Here is a 21,506-nt window from a genome sequence, read left to right on the forward strand (position 1 = left end):
GTCTATATTCACAGTATATATTCTCCATACAACTTGAGCTTTTTAAGAGTAGTCTTTGTGGTTACAAGAAATTTAGTCTGTAAATATGTACAAATTTTAGCTTTTTTTTAAGTGAGAAAAAACAAGCGTTTATGTTTATAGAGTTGAGAGATTTCAAGGCCACCTCATTATTTTCTTATATACTAATTTTTAACTTTAAAAATATAGATTTTTATATTATATCATTCACTAAATTCCAGGTGGATTAACATTTTATGCACCAAAACTAAAAAAGTAAATTAATGAGAAGAAAATACAGTACTGGAAAACAAATACTAAAATTAAAAATTGGAGGAAAGAATTTTTCTAAGCACACAAAGACATACCATAAAAGAAGAGTTTGATAGATTTCATTACAAAAAGGTCTAAAGTTTCTATCTGTCACAAAGTACCATAAATAAAAGTGAAAACAGTGTAGTCAAGATGAACAGATAACCTGAATAGACCCATAACTATTTCTTTTTAATAAATTTGTAGTTTATCTTTTAAGAAAGAAATCTCCAGGCCCAGATGATTTCACCGGGGAATTCTGTCTAGCATCTAAAGAAGGAATAGCACCAATTCTACATAATCTGTCTCAGAAAACAGAAGAGGAGAAAACACTTTCTATGAGGCCAGTATTACCCTGATATCAAAACTGGGCAAAGACATTACAAGAAAAAAGATGACTACAGTTCAAGACCTTTCATGTGTGTAGATGAAAAAAGCAACAAAATATATAGCAATATATAAATAACATACCATGATCAAGTGAGATCCAGTGTGTTTAGGGTGGTATGGTCACAGACCTCCGTGATCAAGTGAAGTTTTTTCTTAAGGATGTCACACTGGTTTAATATTCAAATCTCAGTCAGTTTACCTCTACCATATTAACAGTCCAGTCATGGAAAGCTCATGATTTTATCAGTTGTTGCAGAAAAAGCATGTGACAATATTCGACATCCATTCATGATGGAAGGAACTTCTTTAATCTGATAAAAGGCATATACCAAAAACCCTGCAGCTGATTTCATGCTTAGTGGTGAAAGACTGAGTACCCCTTAAGATCAAGAACAAGGCAAGGATGTTCACTCTCACTGCTCCTATTCAGCAGAGTACTAGAAGTCCAGCAAATGCAAGAAGGCAAGAAAAATAAAATGGTCCCTATTTGCAGTCAAAATGATTGTCTCTGTAGAAAATGACAAATAATCTACAAAAATCCTAGAACTAATATGTTTAAGTGTAGCAAGGTCACAGGATACAAGGTCAATGCACAAAACTTAATTGTAGTTCTATATAGTAGCAATGAACAACTGGAAACAAAAATTTAAAAAAAATCACAATAGCCCCATCCCTGCAAATGAAATATTTAGGTATAAATCTATCAAAATATGTACAGTATTTATGTGCTGAAAACTACAAAACTGATGAAAGAAATTAAATATGACCTAAATAAATACACATACTATGTATGGATTGGAAGACAATATAGTAAAGATATCAGTCTTCCAAGATTGATCTGCAGATTTAACATAATTATAATCAAAATCCCAACAGAAGCATTTGTAAATATAGACAAGCTGACTAACATTTGTGTGAAAAAGCAAAGAAATTAGGATAGCTAAAATGGTTTTGGAAAAGCATACAGTTGGAGGAATCATAGTACTTGATTTTAAGATTTACTATAAAGCAGTAATCAAGAGAATGTGGTATATTGGTGGAGGGACAGATACTAATAACATATCTCTCTATAATCAGACACCAATAATATCTCTAACAGAGATAGAGTTATTGGAACACAATGTAGTACAGAAATAGACCTGTATAATTATGGCCAATTAATTTTTGATAAATGTGCAGAAGTAATTCAATATGGAAAGGATAGTCTTTAAAACAAATGATACTGCAACAACTGGATACCACATGCCAAAAAAAAATTGGACTCTTACTCATGCCATACACAGACATTAATAATGGACATTGTCCTAACTGTAAGAGCTAAAATTTATATTTACATAGAAAAAAATAGGCTTTAAAAAAGTACCAAGGCCTGGATACAAACTAAATACAGAGGCCAAGGTGAGAAGATCACTTGAAGCCAGGAATTTTATACTGGCTTGGGCAACATAGTGAGACCCCATCTCTACCACAAAAAAAAAAAAAAAGAAGAAGAAGCTGGGTGTGGTAGCATGTGCCTATAGTCCTAGCTACTCAGGAGGCTGAAATAGGAGGATTGCTTGAGTTAAGGGTTCCAGTCTACAGAGAGCTATAAGCGTGCCACTGCACTCTAGCCTGGGTAACACAGTAAGACCCTGTCTCTAAAAATAATAAGACCAAAATTCATGTGGAAAATAAGTTTAAATCATACTAGTAATTACAAAAATAAAAGCAAAGTTACTCTTTTTGTCTAACAAATTGTCAAAATTTTAAAAAATGATAACACCAGGATTGATGAGATTTGATAAAAACTCTGGAGAGCAATTTGGCAGGATGTCACACATTTTAAAATGGTATGTATCTTTAAAAATGCAAGATCAAAATTTCACCCATCCTATGTGAAAATTTTAAAAATTTAAAAATATATAGCAGTTGGCAAATTCATAACTAGTAGGAGTGAGTGTAAATTGATATTAAATTTGGAGTCTAATTTGATAATATCTAGTAAAATTTAAAAGGAAACATGAATAAAGATGTTCACTGTGTCACTGATTATAATTGTAAAAAATAACCCAAATATATATATCAATAAGTAAAAGGAAACTTTGGTGTATTCACTACATGGAATTTTGTAGCTGTTAAAAGAACCGGACTTGGGCTGGGCGGAGTGGCTCACGCCTGTAATCCCAGCACTTTGAGAGGCCGAGGCAGGTATTTTGCCTGAGGTCAGGAGTTTGAGACCAGCCTGGCCAACATGGTGAAACCGCGTTTCTACTAAAAATACAAAAATTAGCCGGGCTTGGTGGCATGCGCCTGTAATCCCAGCTACTCAGGAGGCTGAGACAGGAGACTTGCTTGAGCCCAGGAGGCGGAAGTTGCAATGAGCCGAGATCGCGCCATTGCACTCCAGCTTGGGTGACAGAGGGAGACTCCGTCTCAAGAAAAGAAAAGAAAAAAAAAAAAGGACCGGACTATATCTGTAGATATCAAGGTTAATTTTTTAAAAGTATTAAGGAAAAACAGTTGCATTTTTAGGACATACAAAATAATACTATTGTTTATAGTTACATTTAGGTAAACATTAAACTACAAAGTAAGATTTCATTAAAATGTAAACAGAATATGACTTTGTGAAGAGATCTGTAAATCATATCCACACATACATGCAGTCACACAAACTGTATAAAATGGTCATAACTATTTGATAGTGCTGGAAGTAGATAAAAAGAACAAATTGCAAAGCATTTATTTTGAAAAAACTGCTGGAGCTTTGAGTAAAGAGAAAATCAGTGGCCCTCCTGCCTGGGGCTGCTTCCATCCAGTGCCCCAGGTCGGTCCATGAGAATTGCAATGTTATCACCACGGGCCGCACAGGAGAACCGGCAGCTTTGCTGGCATTGGAGGCAGACTTAATATGATGAAAGGGATAAAAACACACAGGTTTATCAGATAAAGGGGGCAAACTCTGGAGGAAATGAAAAGAGGATCGCCTGCATGTTGACACTAGCCTGAAGTTGCTGTTCTGGTTGGTGTGAGTGGCATCAGAAATTTTAATGGGGAGACCACAGAAGGGCTAAATGAGCTCTCCCCACATCCCTGGATACCCACAAAACTACATACATGTGTAGGGGATACTTGAAAGCCTAATAAAGAGTAACAACCAAAGAAGACTTGAAATGTGTGAGAGCTTGGAATGCATTTTTGTCTACATACAGAGCAGTTGACAGGATGGGCGACGTATAGGCTGAAGGTATTTAAGCACAACCTCTGCCCAAATCAGTAGGTCAACACTAAGCTATGCAGACACAGGAGTGAACCCCAGAAATCCAGATTAAAAATAATAAGCACTAAAATCTGAGCAGAAACTTCTGGTTTCTGGTCTGGTATATAAGGAGTTTGGAAGTCATCACTTTATCCAAACAACAAGTAAAAAGCAAAATGAAATATTAACTCCTCTTAGATCTGTCACAGAGAACTAAGGTCACATGGCAAACCAGTGCCCCACAAATTGGAGAGACAGCAAAATAAAGAGAATCACAATGTACCAAAGTAGAAATCTATCTCCACAGGAACCAGTACCACAGACTTGACGTAAAGAAATATTAAAAGAAGTTCTTCAGAGAAAAGGAAAATGATACAGAAATTCATAGGCACATAAGGAAAGGAAGCTCACTGGAGAAGAAATGTGATCATAAAATAAAAAACTCATTTTTCCTATTCTTAATCTAACAAATAACAGTTTGTTCAAATTAGGAGCAGAAGGCAGGGATTAGGATTATTTTGTTATTATAAGGTACTATATAGTGTTATTTGTAAGTGAACTTGGAATGATTGTAAATGTATATTGAAAACTCCAGGGCAACTACTAAAAAGAGTTTTTTAAAAAAGTGTAACTGATATGCTAAAAAGAGAAACTGGAATATATGAAATGCTCAATTTAACAACAAAAGGAGCTGGGTGCAGTGGCTCATGCCTGTAACTCCAGCTACTCAGGAGGCAGAGGTGGGGGGTTTGCTTGAGCCCAGGAGTTTGAGGCTGCTGTGAGTTATGATCACACCATTGTACTCCAGCCTACGAGACAGAATGAAATCTTGTCTCTAAAAAAAAAATAAATAAATAAAATTTAAAAAGCAAAACCACAAAAGGTAGGAAAAGAGTGAAAGACAAAAATATGAACAAAGAAAAAGGACCAACAAATAGAAAAGTAACAATATGGTAAATGTTAATCCAACTATATTAACAATTATTTTAAACATCAGTGGTCTAAATAAGCCAATGTAAAGAAAGATTTTCAGAGTGATCAAAAAACAACGCCCAACCATATGTTGTCTACAATAAATCCACTTTAAATATAAAGACACATAGATTAAAAGGAAATGGATGGAGACAAATACACTATACTAACATTAATCAAAAGAATGCAAGAGTAGCCGTACTAGTTTCAGCCAGAACAAACTTAGTGCAAGGAAAGTTATCAGGGACAAAGAGGGGCATTACATATGATAAAGGGGTCAGTTCTCCAATAAGACATACAATCCTTAATGTGTACGTGCCTAACAAGAGTTTCAAAATATTTGAGGCAAAAACTGATGGAACTGTAAGAAGAAATAGATGAATTCACTATCATAGTTGTACTCTTCAACACCCCTTGTATTAGTCAGGGTTCTCTAGAGGGACATAACTAATAGGATAGATACATATATATAAAGGGGAGTTTATTAAGGAATATTAAACTCACAGGATCACAAAGTCCCGCAATAGGCCATCTTCAAGCTGAGGAGCAAGGAAGCCAGTCCAAGTCCCAAAGTCTGATGTTTGGGGGTAGGAAGCATCCAGCACAGGAGAAAAATGTAGGCTGGGAGGCTAAGCCAGTCTAATCTTTTCACATTCTCCTGCTTGCTTTTATCCTAGCCACAGTGGCAGCTGATTAGATTGTACCCACCCAGATTAAGGGTGGGTCTGCCTCTCCCAGCCCACTGTCTCTAATGTTAATCTCCTTTGGCAACACCCTCGCAGACACACCCAGGATCAATACTTTGCATCCTTCAGTCCAGTCAAGACACTCAGTATTAATCATCACACCCGTGTATCAGAAATGGACAGATACACAGGCAGAAAATCAGTAAGGACATAATCAAATTCAACAGCACCATCAATCAACTTAATAAAATTGACATCTATTGACTACTGTATCCAAACAATAGCAGAATGCACATTCTTCCCAAGCTCACATGGAACATTCACCATGATAGACCACATTCGGGGCCATAAAACACACCCTAACAAATTTAAAAGAAAATGTACAATGTCTGCTCTCAGACCACAGTGGAATTAAACTAGAAATCAATAACAGAAAGATACCTAGAAAATCCCAAAATACTTGGAGATTAAACAACACATATCTAAATGTGTGGGATAAGAAGAAATCTCAAGAGAAACTTTAAAATGTTTTGAATTAAGATTTTTTTGAAAATGAAAACAATGTAAAAATTTGTGGGATGCAGCAAAAGTAGTGCTTAGAGGGATATTTATAGCATATTAGAAAAGAGATCTAAAATCAGTAATCTAAGTTTCTATCTTAGGAAGCTAGAAAAAGAAGAGCAAATTAATTCCAAAGTAAGAAGAAAAAAATAATAAAAATTACAGTAGAAATCAATGAAATTGAAAACAGCAAGTCAATGAAGAAAACAAAACCAAAAGCTGATTCTCTGAATAGATTAATGAAATTGATAAAGCTCTAGCCAGGCTAAGGAAAAAAGACAGGACACAAATTACCATTATGAGAAATGAAACAGGAGACATCACTACAGATCCAATGGACATTAATAGGACAATAAAGGAATATTATGAAAAACTCTAGGCTCACAAATTCAATAACCTAGATGAAATAGGTCAATCTTTCATGAAAGATACAATCTGCCAAAACTCACATAAGAAAAACTAAGCCATTTGAATAGATCCATTTCTATTAAAGAAATTGAATCAATAATTAATAACCATCCCATGTGGGTTCACTAGTGAATTCTACCAAACATATAACAAATTCTTGACAATCTCTTCCAAAAGATAGAAGCAGAGTAGCCATTTTTAAGTCAATCTATGAAGCCAACATTACCCTAATTCCAAAATTAGACAAAGATATTAAAAGAAAACTATAGATCAGTGAGATCACATGGACACAGGGAGGGGAACATCACACATCAGGGCCTGTCGGGGGCTGGGGGGCTGGGGGAGGGATAGTGTCAGGAGAAACACCTAATGTAGACGACGGGTTGATGGGTGCAGCAAACCACCAAGGCATGTGTATACCTAGTAACAAACCTGCACATTCTGCACATGTACCCCAGAACTTAAAGTATAATAAAAAAAAATTATCAAGATTTAAAAAAAAACAAAACTGCAGATCAATACATCTCATGAACATAGAGGCAAAAATCCTTAACAAAACATCAGCAAGTTGAATCCATCAATGTACAAAAAGAATTATACACTACAGCCAAATGGGATTTATCGCAGGTATGCAAGGCCAGTCCAGTATTTGAGACTCAATCAATGCATCACACCAACAGGCTAAAGAAGAAAAATCACATAATCATATCAATAGATGCAGAAAGAGCATTTGGGAGAATCCAACACTCATTTATGATTAAAAACTCTCAGCAAACTAGGAATACAGGGGGATTTCCTCAGCCTGATAAGTCACATCTACAAAAAACCTGCAGCTAACACCATTGTTCTTTTTTTTTTTTTTTTTTGGTTCTCCTTTGACTAACACTATTATTCTTTTTTCTTTCTTTCTTTCTTTTTTCTTTTTTTGAGACAGAGTTTCGCTTTTGTTGCTCAGGCTGGAGTACAACGGTGTGATCTCAGCTCACTGCAATCTCTGCCTTCTGGGCTCAAGTGATTCTCCTGCCTCAGCCTCCTGAGTAGCTGGGATTACAGGCACCTGCCACCATGCCTGGCTAATTTTTGTATTTTTAGTAGAGACGGGGTTTCACCATGTTGGCCAGGCTGGTCTCGAACTCCTGACTTCAGGTGATCCACCCACCTCGGCCTCCCAAAGTGCTGGGATAACAGGTGTGATCCACTGTGCCCAGCCAACACCATTATTCTTAATGGTGAAAAACTAGAAGCTTTTCTAAGACTGGGAACAAGACAGTTTCCTCTCACCACTCCTTTTCAGCATCATAATGGAAGACCTAGCTAATGGAATAAGAGAAGAAAAGGAAATAAAAACTATACTATAATATTTGTGAAGGAAGAAATATAACTTTTTATTTGCAGATGACATCGTCTGATTAGAAAATTTGAAAGAATCAACAAAAATATCTGGAATTAATAAGTGATTATAGAAAAGATTCAGGATACAAGTTTAATATGCAGAAGTCAATACTTTCCTATATACCAGCAATGAATAAGTAAAATTTAAAATTTAAAACAATACCATTTACATTAGCACTCCAAGAAAATTTAAAACAATACCATTTACATTAGCACTCCAAGAAATGAAATAATTAGGTATAAATCTAGCAAAGTATTTGTGAAATATATGTGAGAAAAACAACAAAACTCTGATGCAAGAAATCAAAGAACTAGCCAGGTATTGTGGTGTGTTCCTGTAGTCCTAGCTACTTGGGAGGCTGAGTTAGGAGAATTGCTTGAGATCAGGAGTTTGAGACCAGCCTGGGCAACACAGTGAGACCCATCTCAAAAAGAAAAAAATAGAAATCAAAGAACTAAAATAAACTAAGATATCTTTAATATCTATTCCATGTTCATGGATAAGAAGACTCAATAAAAAAATATAAAGTTCTTCCAACTTGATTTATAGATTCAACTCAATTCCAATAATAATCTCAGCAAGTTATTTTTTGGATATTAGCAAATTGATTCTGAAGTTTACATGGAGAGGCCAGAATAACCAACAACATGGAAGAACAAAGTTGGAGGACTAACACTACCCAACTTCAAGACTTACTAAAAAACCACAGCAATGAAGACAGTATAGATGAGAAATCATCTTACTGTAGTCACAGTGGCTATTATGAAAAAGACAAAAAAACAAAAACAGATGTTGGTGAGGGTGCAGAGAAAAGGGAACTCTCATACACTGTTGGTGTGAATGTAAATCAGTACAACCTCTATGGAAAACAGTACGGAGATTTCTCAAATAACTAAAAATAGAATGACCATTTGATCCAGGAATCCCACTATTAGGCATCTACCCAAAAGAAAAGGAAGGTATATATCAAAAAGATTCCTGCACTTGTATGTTTATCGTAGCACTATTCACAATAGTAAAGATAACAGAATCAGTCTAAGTATTCAGCAGTGGATGATTGGATAAAGAAAATGTGGTACATATACACAATAGAATACTATTCAGTCATAAAAAAGAATGAAATCATGTCTTTTGCAGCAAAATGGATGGAACTGAAAGTCATTATCTTAAGTGAAACAAGCCAGACACAGAAAGTCAAGTATCAAGGTTTCACTCATAAATGGGTGCTAACAAATGTGTGCACATGGGCTTAGTGCAGTGTTAGATAATGGAGACTCATAAGGGTGTGATGTGGGGTGGATGATGAGAAATTAATGAGTACAATGTATGTTATTTGGGTTATGGATACTCTAAAAGCTGTGACTACTATGCAATTTATACATGTAACAGAATTGCACTTGTACTCCATAAGTTTACACACAAGAAAAGTATGGTATTGGCAAAATTTTCCCATTGTTTCTGTGTATTTTCTAGATTGATATAAACGTATTATGTTTGGAAAGACACAACATTAAAATTAAATTTTCAAGCCATAACAACTATATATTTAAAATACTTATAAAATCACAACTTACTCCCTCCCAGCACCCCCCAAACAGGAACCTTAGTAAACATTACTATCAGAGTTTTATTTAGCTAAAAATATAGTCTTGCAGTATACCTGGGAGTTTAATATGGTAGTTATTTGTAGTATTAGCATAATAAGATTATTCAGACAGAAGCTTTCTTTTTTGCTACAAAAAATTCCATGGATTTTATAAGGAGAATAAAAACCAAAACATCATCTGATGTCATTAAATCACATTTTAGGGCTCGGTGCGGTGGCTCATGCCTGTGATCCCAGCACTTTGGGAGGCCGAGGTGGGCGGATCACGAGGTCAAGAGATTGAGACCGTCCTGGCCAACATGGTGAAACCCCATCTCTACTAAAAATACAAAAATTAGCCGGGCATGGTGGCGCACACGTGTAGTTCCAGCTACTCGGGTGGCTGAGACAGGAGAATCACTTGAACCCAGGAGGCAGAGGTTGCAGTGAGCCGAGGTTGCACCGCTGCACCCCAGCCTGGCAACAGAGTGATACTCTATCTCAAAAAACAAAAGAAAACAACAACAGCAAAAAAACCACACATCTTAGACTTTTAAAGAGTCCTTATGAGACCTGGCTTGAGAACAAGCATGGACTTTAAGCATGAAAATGTCAATTGAGCCAAAGCTGATATTAGACATTTGTAAAGGTTAGCAGCTTGCCTTAAATAATTGTTTCAATTTTTCCAGATGCTGTTGAGATATATTTCATAAGAAGTATCAATGCATATCGAGCAACATTGGGCTCAGAGGATTTTGAAACACTGAGCACCACTGAAGAATTTTGCAAATGGCTTGTCCAAAATGGAGAAAAACAGGTAAATATGATCAATGCATAAACAGAATTGCTAGTTTGTTTATTAGATCACAATAGCATTTTTCATCTTACAATTCAGATACTGGAGATCAGATAGGTCCCAGATAAAACTAGGCAAGAACCACATTGTTTCATTCTTTGCTAGCATTAACCGAATTATTTTTTTTTCAGATTGGTTTCATTCTTTTGATGAAACTGAGCAACTCTGTCCGACAAGATTTAGTTTGTACTTGGAAACTGCAGAGTAGGCTCAAAGTATTTTAGAGGGACTCGATATTGATGGCAAAAGAAAATTGGCAGCCATATGTTTGCTTCTAACGGTTCCCTCTCTGACAAACTTTTTTTTTTTTTTTGAGACAGGGTCTCTGTCACCCAGGCTGTAGTGCAGTGGGGCGATCTCGGCTCACTGCAACCTCCGCCTCTTGGGTTCAAGAGATTTGCCTGCCTCAGCCTCCCAAGTAGCTGGGATTACAGGCATGCGCCACCATGCCCAGCTAATTTTTGTATTTTTAGTAGAGATGGGGTTTCTCCATGTTGACCAGTCTGGTCTTGAACTCCTGACCTCAGGTGATCCACCTGCCTTGGCCTCCCACAGTGCTGGGATTACAGGAGTGAGCCACTGTGCCCCACCAGCATTGCCTTTCTTGTTTGAAATTTTACAGCTATACTTTGTTGTGTAATGTTATGGTTCCCTTTCTGTAAAATGTTATTTTTGGTGATCTAAATAAAGCCTGTCTTGTTTGGAGAAAAAAATAAGAATAAAACTAGGAATAATACACAGGGCTTAGGTGGCTTGGAATATTAGTAAAAAAATATTTTTCTTGTATCTTGATACATGAGATCCTTCAAATCCAGCACACATGATCTCTGGCATTGTAAATTTAATATTTTAAGTCAAAATTGGCTTCCATCTTCGGATCTAGCTACTAGTTCTTTTCTTTTGCAGTAGTGGTTTTCTCTTGATCTGATAGGTTTTTATTAGCCACAATCTTGTTTTCACATTTAAAAAGTTATAGAGAATAATTGTTATTGCTGACCTTTTTACTTAGAAGTCCCATGAGTCTAAGCTATCATTCAAAACCTTTTGACTTGAACTTTATATATTCACTGCAGCATGAACACAGTGAAGACCTTTGTCTGTCATAAGATCCCACATGACTTTGATCTGACCAAGCCAACTTTATACTTCCTCAGAAGAGTGAGAAATATGGATAGATTTGACATGGTCTTATTGGCCATGTAAAAACCAGTTTAAGAGTAGAGTTACAGGCACATAATAAGTAAAAATTTATTTCCAGGAATGAAGAACAGTTTTTTTTATATCATATCTAAACATTTTTTATAAATGATGACGTTTTCTTTATTTCAATTTTAATTGCCATTTGTAAAGACAAAAACCTTATAATGATTTGCAACCTTTTTTCTGTGGCCATGATATTTTCTGTTGGTTTAGAAGACTGTTTTTTTTTTTTTTTTGAGACAGAGTCACTCTGTTGCCCAGGCTGGAATGCAGTGGCATGATCTCAGCTCACTGCAACCTCTGCCTCCCAAGTTCAAGCGATTTTTGTGCCTCAGCCTCCCGGAACAGCTGGGATTACAGGCGCCCACCACTACACCCGGCTAATTTTTGTAGAAACGGGGTTTAATCCTGTTGGTCAGGCTGGTCTCGAACTCCCACCTCAAGTGACCGCCCGCCTCGGCCTCCCAAAGTGCTAAGATTAGAGGCGTGAGCCACAGCACCCGGCCGGTTCAGAAGATTAACATGAGATCCCAATGCCATGGGTTGATCTAATAACTTTCTTTTCAAAGATGTGAAAATACGTTACCAGAATTTAATACCTTATCCTTGTTATATTCTGGTGCAGTGAATACCATGACCTTGGTTGTGACAAACCACCAGTACCACCACCAGTACCAATGCCTGATAATCCTCCACTTCTAACCAAGTACTTTCTAGTATACCAAGCTCCTGGACAAAGCCACCAAAGGACCTGAGTGCCAGGTGGCTCCAAATCTAAACCATAAGCAGGACGGACTATGGACAAGTCAGCTTTACCATTAGGAAGCAAGTGCCATGAGGGCAGGAATTTTTGTTTGTTTTGTTCACTGCAGTGTCCTCACTGCCTGAAACACTAACTGGCACATAGAAGATGCCTGATAACTTTTGAATGAAACTGCTGAATTTTATAACACATTTCCCATATTTAAAAGTAGCTCGTTCTCCTGCCTCCAAGCTTCATGTGAGGCTCTAGGCCTGTCCTAGAGGACCATAACAGAAACTCACAAGACTTGGGAATTGTTCCCATGGACTACACACACACACACACACACACACACACACACACACACACAATATCTTTTGATAAGTAGTTTAATCTGCCATGGATAAAAAATAAAACTCATTCATCTGGAACCACCTTCTTCCAGTAATTCATCAAAATGACAATCACGGCTGGGTATGGAGACTCACACCTGTAATCCCAGCACTTTGCGAGGCCGAGGCAGGAGGATTGCTTGAGCCTAGGGGTTTGAGACCAGCCTGGGCAACAAAGTGAGACCCTCATCTGTAAAAAAATTAAAGAATTAGCCAGGTGCAGTGGTGCATGCCTGTGGTCCCAGCTACATGGGAGACTGAGGCAGGAAGATCACTTGAGCCTGGGAGGTTGAGGCTGCAGTGAGCTGTGATCATGCCACTGCACTCCAGCTTGGGTGACAGAGACCCTGTCTCAAAAAACAAACCAGAAACAAACAAACAAACAAAACAGAGAAAAGAAGAGAGGCACCCCTTACATGTTCTCTAGGGCTTTTAGAAAACATGAAGATGTTCCTCTGGTCACATACATGCAAATCTATAAGAAAGGTGATACTGTGGAAATCAAGGGAATAGGCATTGTCCAAAAGGGAATACCCCACAAGTGTTACCATGGCAAGACTGAGAGAGCCTACATTGTTATCCAGCAAGCTGTTGGTGTTGTCAACCCAAGATTTTTGACAAGATTCTTGCCAACAGAATAAATATGTGTTTGGTGCATATTCAGCACTCTAAGAGCTGGGATGGCCTCATGAAACTTCTGAAAGAAAATGGTTAGAAAAAAAAGGAAGTCAAAGAGATAGTTCCCTGGGTTCAACTGAAATGCCAACCTACTTCATCCAGGGAAGCACACTTTGTGAGAACTAATGGGAAAGAGCCTGAGCTGCTGGAACCTGTTCCCTGAATAGCTAGATTCACTCAAAGGAAAAGAGAGAAGACTAAAATAAATAAAATCAGAAATGAAAGAAGAGACATTAAGCTGATGCCACAACAATTAAAAGGAATATAAGAGACTACTATGAATAATTATATGTCAACAAATTGGATAACCTAAAAGAAAAGGATAAAATTCTAGAAACATATTACCTACCAAGACTGAATCATGAAGAAATAGAAAATCTAAGTAGACATTTAATCAGTAATCAAAAACCTTCTTACAAATAAAAGCCCAGGACCAGATGGCTTCATTGGTGAATTCTACCAAACATTTAAAGAAGAATTAATATTGCTAATTCTTTTCAAACTCTTCCATTTTCTGGAAGAGGAGGACACACTTTCAAACTCTTTTTATGAGGCCAGCATTACTCTGACATCAAAGCCATAAAAAGACACTACAAGAACACTACAGGTCAATATCCCTGAATGCATATAGATGCAAAAATTCTCAACAAAACACTAGCAAACTAAATTTAACAGCACATTAAAAGAGTCATGCACCATCACCAAGTGGGATTTATCCCTGGGATGTAAGAATGGTTTGGCATACAAAAATCAATCAATGAGATACACCACCTTAACAGAATGAAGGATAAAAGTCAGATGATACTCTGAGATGCAGAAAAAGCATTGGACAAAATTCAATACCTTTTCATGATTAAAAAGAAAAACTGCCAACAAAGAAGGAATAGAAGGAAATTACCTCAACATAATAAAGGCCATACATATATGCAAAGCCTACAGCTAATACCATACTTAATGGTGAAAAACTGAAAGCTTTTCCTTTAAGATCAGGAACAAAAGAAGGATGCCCACTTTTGCCACCTCTATTCAACATAGTACTGGAAGTACTAGCCAGAGCAGTTAGGCAGGAAAGATAAATAAAAAACATCCAAATATGAACAGAAGTAGAATTATTTCTGTTTGCAGAATGACATGATGTTATGTAGAAAACCCTAATGATCACATACACACACACACACACACACAAACACACACACACAACCTGTTTGAACTAATAAACTCAACTAAATTATAGGAAACAAAATCAGCATACAAAAATCAGTTGTATTTTTATATGCTAACGTTGAACAATTTGAAAAAAAAAGTAAGAAAACAATCCCATTTACAATAGCATCAAAAAGAATAAAATACTTAGGAATAAACCAAGGAGGTGAAAGACTTATACACTGAAAAAAATAAATAGGAAAATAACAAATTATATGCATGCTTTCCTACTCTAAAAAATGCAAAAATATTACAGTAGTAGCCTTGAGATTCCTGATTTATTGGCAGTGTTCTCTGGAAAGCAGCAATTGACATCCCTTTTATGTTTGTTGTTCTGACATGCCACATTAGGGATGATGATTACATGTTCAACCCAATTATGAAGAAATGTCTGTTACATCTGTCAACATAGATAATTCAGGCAGTGAGTGGGTGATGTACAGTTCTTGAGGGAGCCAGCAATAATACCTCTTCACCTTCCCTAAAGAAAGCACATTGGGAAGGCAAATGAGTACAAGCACCTTTGTCCTATGAATAATTTCCAGTGCATACTTAATTTATTTTTGCTGTATAGTAAGTAGTTAACAGTGAGAGCTTTGCTGAAAGACAATTAGCCTAGACCTTTTAAAAATGTCAATGTTATGAAAGACCAAAAGGGCAGGAGAACTGTAACAGATTAAAGAATCATGAAAACTAAATGCAATACATGATGATTAGATGCTAGATTTTAAGGAGGTGTAAAGAACATTACTGGAACAATTGGGAAATTTGAACATGGAGCTTGTATCAGGAAACGCTGTTGTATTGATGTAAGATTTCTTGAATGATAATGTTATTGTAGATATGTAGGAAAATGTTCTTGTTCTAAGAAGACACATGCTTAAGTATTTAGTGGTGGCCATATGCGATGGCTCATGCCTGTCTGTAATTCCAGTAATTTGGGAGGCCAAGGCAGGAGGATCACTTGAGCCCAGGAGTTCATGACCAACCTGGGAAACATAGTGGGACCCCATTTCTACAATAAATAAATAAATAAATAAGCTGAGCAGAGTAGTGCACAACTATAGTCCCAGCTACTTTAGAGGCTGACGTAGAGGATCATTTGAGCCTGGGAGGTCAAGGCTACATGAGCCCTGATCACACCCCTGCACGCCAGCCTGAGCAACAGAGTGAGGCCCTGTCTAAAAAAAAAAGAAAGAAACCATTTAGGAGTAAAGTATCTTGATTACCTACAACTTATTTTCAACAAAAATATGTGTGTGTATGCATGTATATTTATATATAGAGAGAGACATTACTTTTTAAGAAGAGAAAAATAAAGCAAACGTGGCAAAATTGTAGCAATGTGTGAATCTAGGCGAAAATTGTATGGGTATTTATTTTACTATTCTTTTAGCTTTTCTGAAGGTTTGAAAAAAATTAAAATAAAAAATAGGTGAACAAAAAGAGTGAGGGCTGTGGAATTCAGACTGCCTGGTGTTGGAATTCTGACACTGCTAATCATAGGCTCTATGATCTGGGGCAAGATCCTTAGCTGTTATTAGTTTCCATTCCTTCATCTGTAAAATGAGTATAATAACAGTTCCTCTCTTGTAGGGCAGCCATGAAGATTAAATAGTATTATATGAATTAACTATTATTAATTACAAGCTTGGAACTTTAATTCTTAATACAAATTACTTAGGTGACACATCACAACGGACTGATCCTGGTGGGTTATGTCATTGTTGGGTACAATGCCTTCTCCATAGAGCTCAGGGAACAGAACCAGCATGCTCCTTCGGAATTGCCAGGCTGATTTAAAAAAAAAAAAAAAAAAAACGTTTTATCCCTCAGGAGGCTTACAGACTGCTAAAGGCTTCATTAAAGTCCCAGGTATTCAGCTACAGTGACTATAGCAAAAATGTGGCTGAAACTTTTCATAATACGGGCAGGATCTGCTTTGCCAAAGGAGAGCCCAGAAAGGCAATTCAGCTGCTGAGGAAGGCGACTTTTGGCTGGTTTCGTTACATTTTCCCCTGGGCTTGTAAGCAGGATGTGAGGAGGGATGTATGTACATATGTATGCATGTATATATGTATTTTCCCTTCCCTTCCATTTCATTCCATCTCTCCTTTTCTCTTTTTAAGTGATGTGTTATCTTTTGAAAATTGTCTGCTTTGTTAGATATGCTGAGGGAGAATATGATACAAAAACTTTAGTTGAGTCCCTATCTGGACAAGGGTCTTAAAAGAGTAACACCCTAATCTTGAAATCCAAGTATGATAGTGGCAGCATCTCTTGAAAGCACTTCAAGGTTGAGTGGAATTAGTAATACCTTGTTTAACCATCCATACCCAAGTACTCATTTCCCTTCCAGAGAGCTCATTCCCTTGCAGTGGGGTGTGGCAAGAGGTGTTCAACCAGTCAGTGTACTGACAGAATGAATCTAAAGGCTTAGTAAAATAGGTGGGGATGTCTCTACATAAAACCTAAGTTTATTCAAAGTCAGAGGAAAAGTTGGTAAAGATCAAGTAATACTCAAATGAGCAGAGGGTGGAGTCAGAAGCAGTCTACATCAGGTTCGCAGGGAGTTTCATCTGATTTCAGGGTAACCTAATGTGATCAGAAAATAGTAAATAACAGAAGAAAGAGGAACTCATTTTGAAGATTCAGAGAAAAAGCCCCCTGAATGTAAGTTATAGGAGCCAGAATAGCTTTTCCAGGGAAGCATGAACACGCGGATGACATCTGGGTAATGGGGGCAGAAGCCTGAAAGGAGAGAAAACTTTGAAATGAAAAGATGACAATCTGAGGATAAGAAATGAGATGAAATGGAAAATGATGAGTGAAATGAGCAGGGGTTCCAGGGAAACAAGTCTAATAAAATTCAAATCCACACTGAAAATAATGAAGACTCTTAACATGGAGTGATACTGGAGTATTGTTTCTCAAATCTAGAATTGCAACACAGTAGGAAACAAAACAAAACAAGCAAAAAACAAATTCCTGAGTCTCACCCCAGACCATCTGAATTAGAAGTTTTAAGAATTGTGTACAGAATCTGTTTTTTTAATAGTTCGTGAGGCAGTTTTAATATCCTGCCAATTTTAAGAATCAAGATTGATAAACTTAAAAAGCTCTCTTAGAACGCAGAGTGAAAGAAGAGAGGGGTCTCATGAGAAAGTAGTTGGTATGCAGGACAAAGTAGAGATTCAGCCAAATAATTGTATGTATTTCTGAAGAAATTATGATTGGAATAGAAGCTGTAATCAGTGATATCATTGAAGACAAATGTTCTGAAATAAAAAAAGACCATAGCATATACATTGTAAGGATTTACCATGTTTCACACAAAGTCAGTGTAAGGAGAGGCTCATTTAGATTTTTACCTGGCAATAAATTTTTGTTGGCATGTGCAGTAGATGGAATGCTTGTGTCCCTTCAAAATTCATATGTTGAAACCTAATCTTCGATGTGGTGGTGTTTGGAGATGGGACCTTTAGAAGGTGACTAGGACTCAAGGTGGAGCCTTCATGAATGGGATTAGTGCCCTTTTAAAAGAGACCTCAAAGAGCCTCCTTGCCCCTTCCACCATGTGAGTTTACAGAAAGAAGATGGCTGTCAATGAATCAGGAAGTGGGCCCTCACCTGACACGAAATGGACTAAGACAGCATGGCTACATCCTCCATTTGTAATAGGGATTCAACTTGCAGATTTAGGATGCCATAAGCCTAGGTAGGGGCTACATCTTTGTTATCAGCTTAGGAAACAAATGAAATGTAGTGCAGGTGTTTGAAATGTAAACTTGTGACAAGATCTCAGTTCCGCTGGTCCTTTCCTGAGTTTGGTTTGCAGTTAAGGTGCTTGCTATCTGATTCTCTTTAACCTGTTGTTTCTCACCTCACCTAGTGTCTGATGATTCAAATCTTTGTATATGGAGGTGAACACAGTAGAAGTAGGGAGACAAAGAGCCTCCTTACCCTGTGGCAGAGGTGAGTTCTGGCCCTGGCCATCAGCCATGTCATCAATGTGGATATATGCATGGCATGGCCTCTCCCAGTTCAACCAGGTAGGGGTGATTCACTTCTATCAGTCTTGCTAGTAAGGCAAAATCCTACCTGTGTATGAATTTGACCAAATCCTATACTTGGGGAAATTAGTTGATTTCTTACAGTCTCATAGAACCCAGTATTAATAGGGTCTGCTGCAGTAATATTTAGTATTTATAATATCCCTTTCAATGCTGAGCATTATAGAAAAGCCCCGCAAGACAAGGTTGTTGTTGATCACAGTGTGATAGTTATGATATGGATTCAGAGAAAGTAAATGAGTACCTTAAAATAATTTTTCTTGCTGAACATACAAAGTCTAGGTCCCTAAACATAAGGCAAGTTTTTTTAGGATACAGTTGTCTCCAAAGTTAATAATGACAGAACCTCTTCAGATTCTTTTTTTAAATGTTTAGAATTTAAGTCAAAGAGAGTTTTGTATAGACTTGTCTCAGTCTTTAACCTTGACGTTATCAATGACGCTTATCATTGACATTTGTTTGTCTCAGAATAGTATTGACCTCGAACTGTTCTCTTCTAAGAGGGAAGAGAACAAAAACTTGTTGAATTTATACCAAATTCATAAAACTGAGCTAGGTCCTATTCATAAAGTATTTAATGTAATCCTCACAAATACCCGGTGTGATAGCTCTCATTTAACAGAAGGGAGCTTGATGTTTTATAATGGAATTTGCCTAAATTCACTCAGTCTTGGAGATTTGGACTCAAATAAGTGTGACTCTAAAGGCCATGTGTTTTTCCCTGAGAGCCCTCTAACAGAGGTGCATTGCTGCTGAGAGTTAGGACCCTGAATGTGTTCACCAGCGGTGGCTGATAATTGGTCCCCTTCTCAACAGGTTCACTATGCTAGACAGGTGGGGAAGATCATGCCATGGAGAATACATTGAGCCCTCCTATCCACACCCCCTTCAGTCAGAGCCACACCTGAGGTGGGCCCCACAGGAGACTATCTCCTGTTTTATCATTACCCAGAGGAGGATGTTCTCCAGCCTCTGTCAATAATTCCTGTGTTACAAGGATACAGAGGATCAGCCACAGGACAAAATGGGGAACTTTGCTCCCTGCCTGTTGGTGTATATGAAAGCATGTTTTCTTAATCAGTAACTGTAAAAATATTAATAACTATAATGTAGAAGTTTTTCCATTTCCTTGGCACTGTATTATACATTTAGATATACTTTTTCTGATTTATAAACCACATTATTAGGTGGGGTTTTTTTTTGTTTTTGTTTTTGTTTTTTTGAGACAGAGTCTTGCTCTGTCGCCAGGCTGTAGTGCAGTGGCGCGATCTTGGCTCACTGCAACCTCCACCTCCCGAGTTCAAGTGATTCTCCTGCCTCAGCCTCCCGAGTAGCTGGGACTACATGCGTATGCCACCACGCCCAGCTAATTTTTGTATTTTTAGTAGAGACGGGGTTTCCCCATGTTGGCCAGGATGGTCTTGATCTCTTGGCCTCGTGATCCACCCGCCTCAGCCTCCCTAGGTGAGTGTTTTTATCTTCCATGTTCAGGTGATGAAACTGAAGCTCAGAAAGTTTGGGTATCTTGGCTGGGCATGATGGCTCACACCTGTAATCCCAGCACTTTGGGAGGCTGAGGCTGGTGGATCACTTGAGCTCAGGAGTTCAAGACCAGCCTGGGCAACATGGTGAAGCGCCATCGCTACAAAAAATATAAAAATTAGCCAGGTGTGGTGGCATGTGCCTGTGGTCCCAGCTACTTGGGAGGCTGAGGTGGAAGGATAACTTGAGGCCAGGTCAAGGCTGCAGTGAGCCGCGATTGCACCACTGCACTCCAGCCTAGGTAACAGACTGAGACCCTGTCTCAAAAAAAAAAAAAAAAAAAAAAAAGGTTGGGTATTTTGTTCATAAGATAGCTGGTAAATGTAAGATTTGAATCCGGGTTGATCAGATTTCAAAAATGCCATTTCACTAATGTAATACAGATTCTGACTTTGATGAATTTGAGTATACGTATGAGGATACCTGTTCAGCAGGCAAGGCTCCAGAACCCATTTTACATGTGGGAAAACTGAAGTTTTATGATTTACTGAAGTTAACTCACCCAGGAAGAGACAAAGGTAGAATTTTAATCTGGGTCTCTCTGACTCCAGGATCTGTACTCCAGGAAGTGTAGCTTACAATCTGAAGACAGACTGCCTGGAGTTTTTTTTAAAAGATGAGGTCTTTCTGTGTTGCCCGGGCTGGTCCAAACTTCTGTGGCCGGTCTTCTTGCTTCTGCCTCCCAAGTAGCTGGGATTATAGGCATCTGCCACTGCACCCAGGATTGCCTGGATTTAAAACTCAGGCTCCATCACTCAGCTCTCTGACCTAGGTGAAGTGACTTAACTCCCTCAGCCTCTGTTTATTCATCAGTAAAATATTAGTACTTTCCTCAAAAAGTACGTTTTCTGAAAGTTAATGAGATGATAAATAATACAAGACTTAGATCAGGGCCTGGAAGGTCTTAGCAGGTCTTAAATGCCCAATGAATGTTGAGATCTTAATAACAAAATAGTAATAATAACAATTCTCTATCTGAAGTACAAGAGATAATATGTCAGAATGTTAAAATAAGAGGCTTCTTTGTATCACCGTATTATTGTTTTATATTAAGAGTAATAGGTACAGAGTATACATTACTGGAGTCTGACCTGTGATCTTAACCTGCCTTTTCCACTCACAAAGTATGTGACCTTGGGCAAATGACTTAACCTCCTTGAACCTTGTTTTCCATTGCTAACATCCAGATCATAGTAAACCACAGAGAGTTGTTGTGAGTTTTAAATAAAATCATGTCTATAACATGCATAGTACAGTGCCTGGCAGAGTATGCGCTCA

General features: G+C 37.6%; 1 protein-coding gene and 1 pseudogene across 19 annotated transcripts in view; both read left to right on the top strand.

The window, feature by feature from the left end:
* TTC23L (tetratricopeptide repeat domain 23 like) overlaps nucleotides 1–21,506 on the top strand; it is an 86,519-nt gene that overhangs the window by 30,786 nt on the left and 34,227 nt on the right. For 9 of the 19 annotated variants that reach the window (NM_001386170.1, XM_047416824.1, XM_017009120.3 and 6 more), the window contains 2 exons: nucleotides 10,232–10,359; nucleotides 18,506–18,588. In NM_001386170.1, coding sequence (NP_001373099.1) covers nucleotides 10,232–10,359; nucleotides 18,506–18,588 — 211 coding nt within the window. Of the gene's footprint in view, nucleotides 1–516; nucleotides 1,086–10,231; nucleotides 10,360–11,471; nucleotides 11,657–18,505; nucleotides 18,589–21,506 lie in introns of those variants that run through there. The other 10 variants (NR_169875.1, NR_169874.1, NR_169876.1 and 7 more) reach the window with 3 other exon arrangements.
* Nucleotides 13,128–13,570, top strand: RPL21P54 (ribosomal protein L21 pseudogene 54; annotated as a pseudogene).

The sequence above is a fragment of the Homo sapiens genome, chromosome 5, assembly GCF_000001405.40.
Source record: "Homo sapiens chromosome 5, GRCh38.p14 Primary Assembly".
Taxonomy (NCBI): Eukaryota; Metazoa; Chordata; class Mammalia; order Primates; family Hominidae; genus Homo; species Homo sapiens.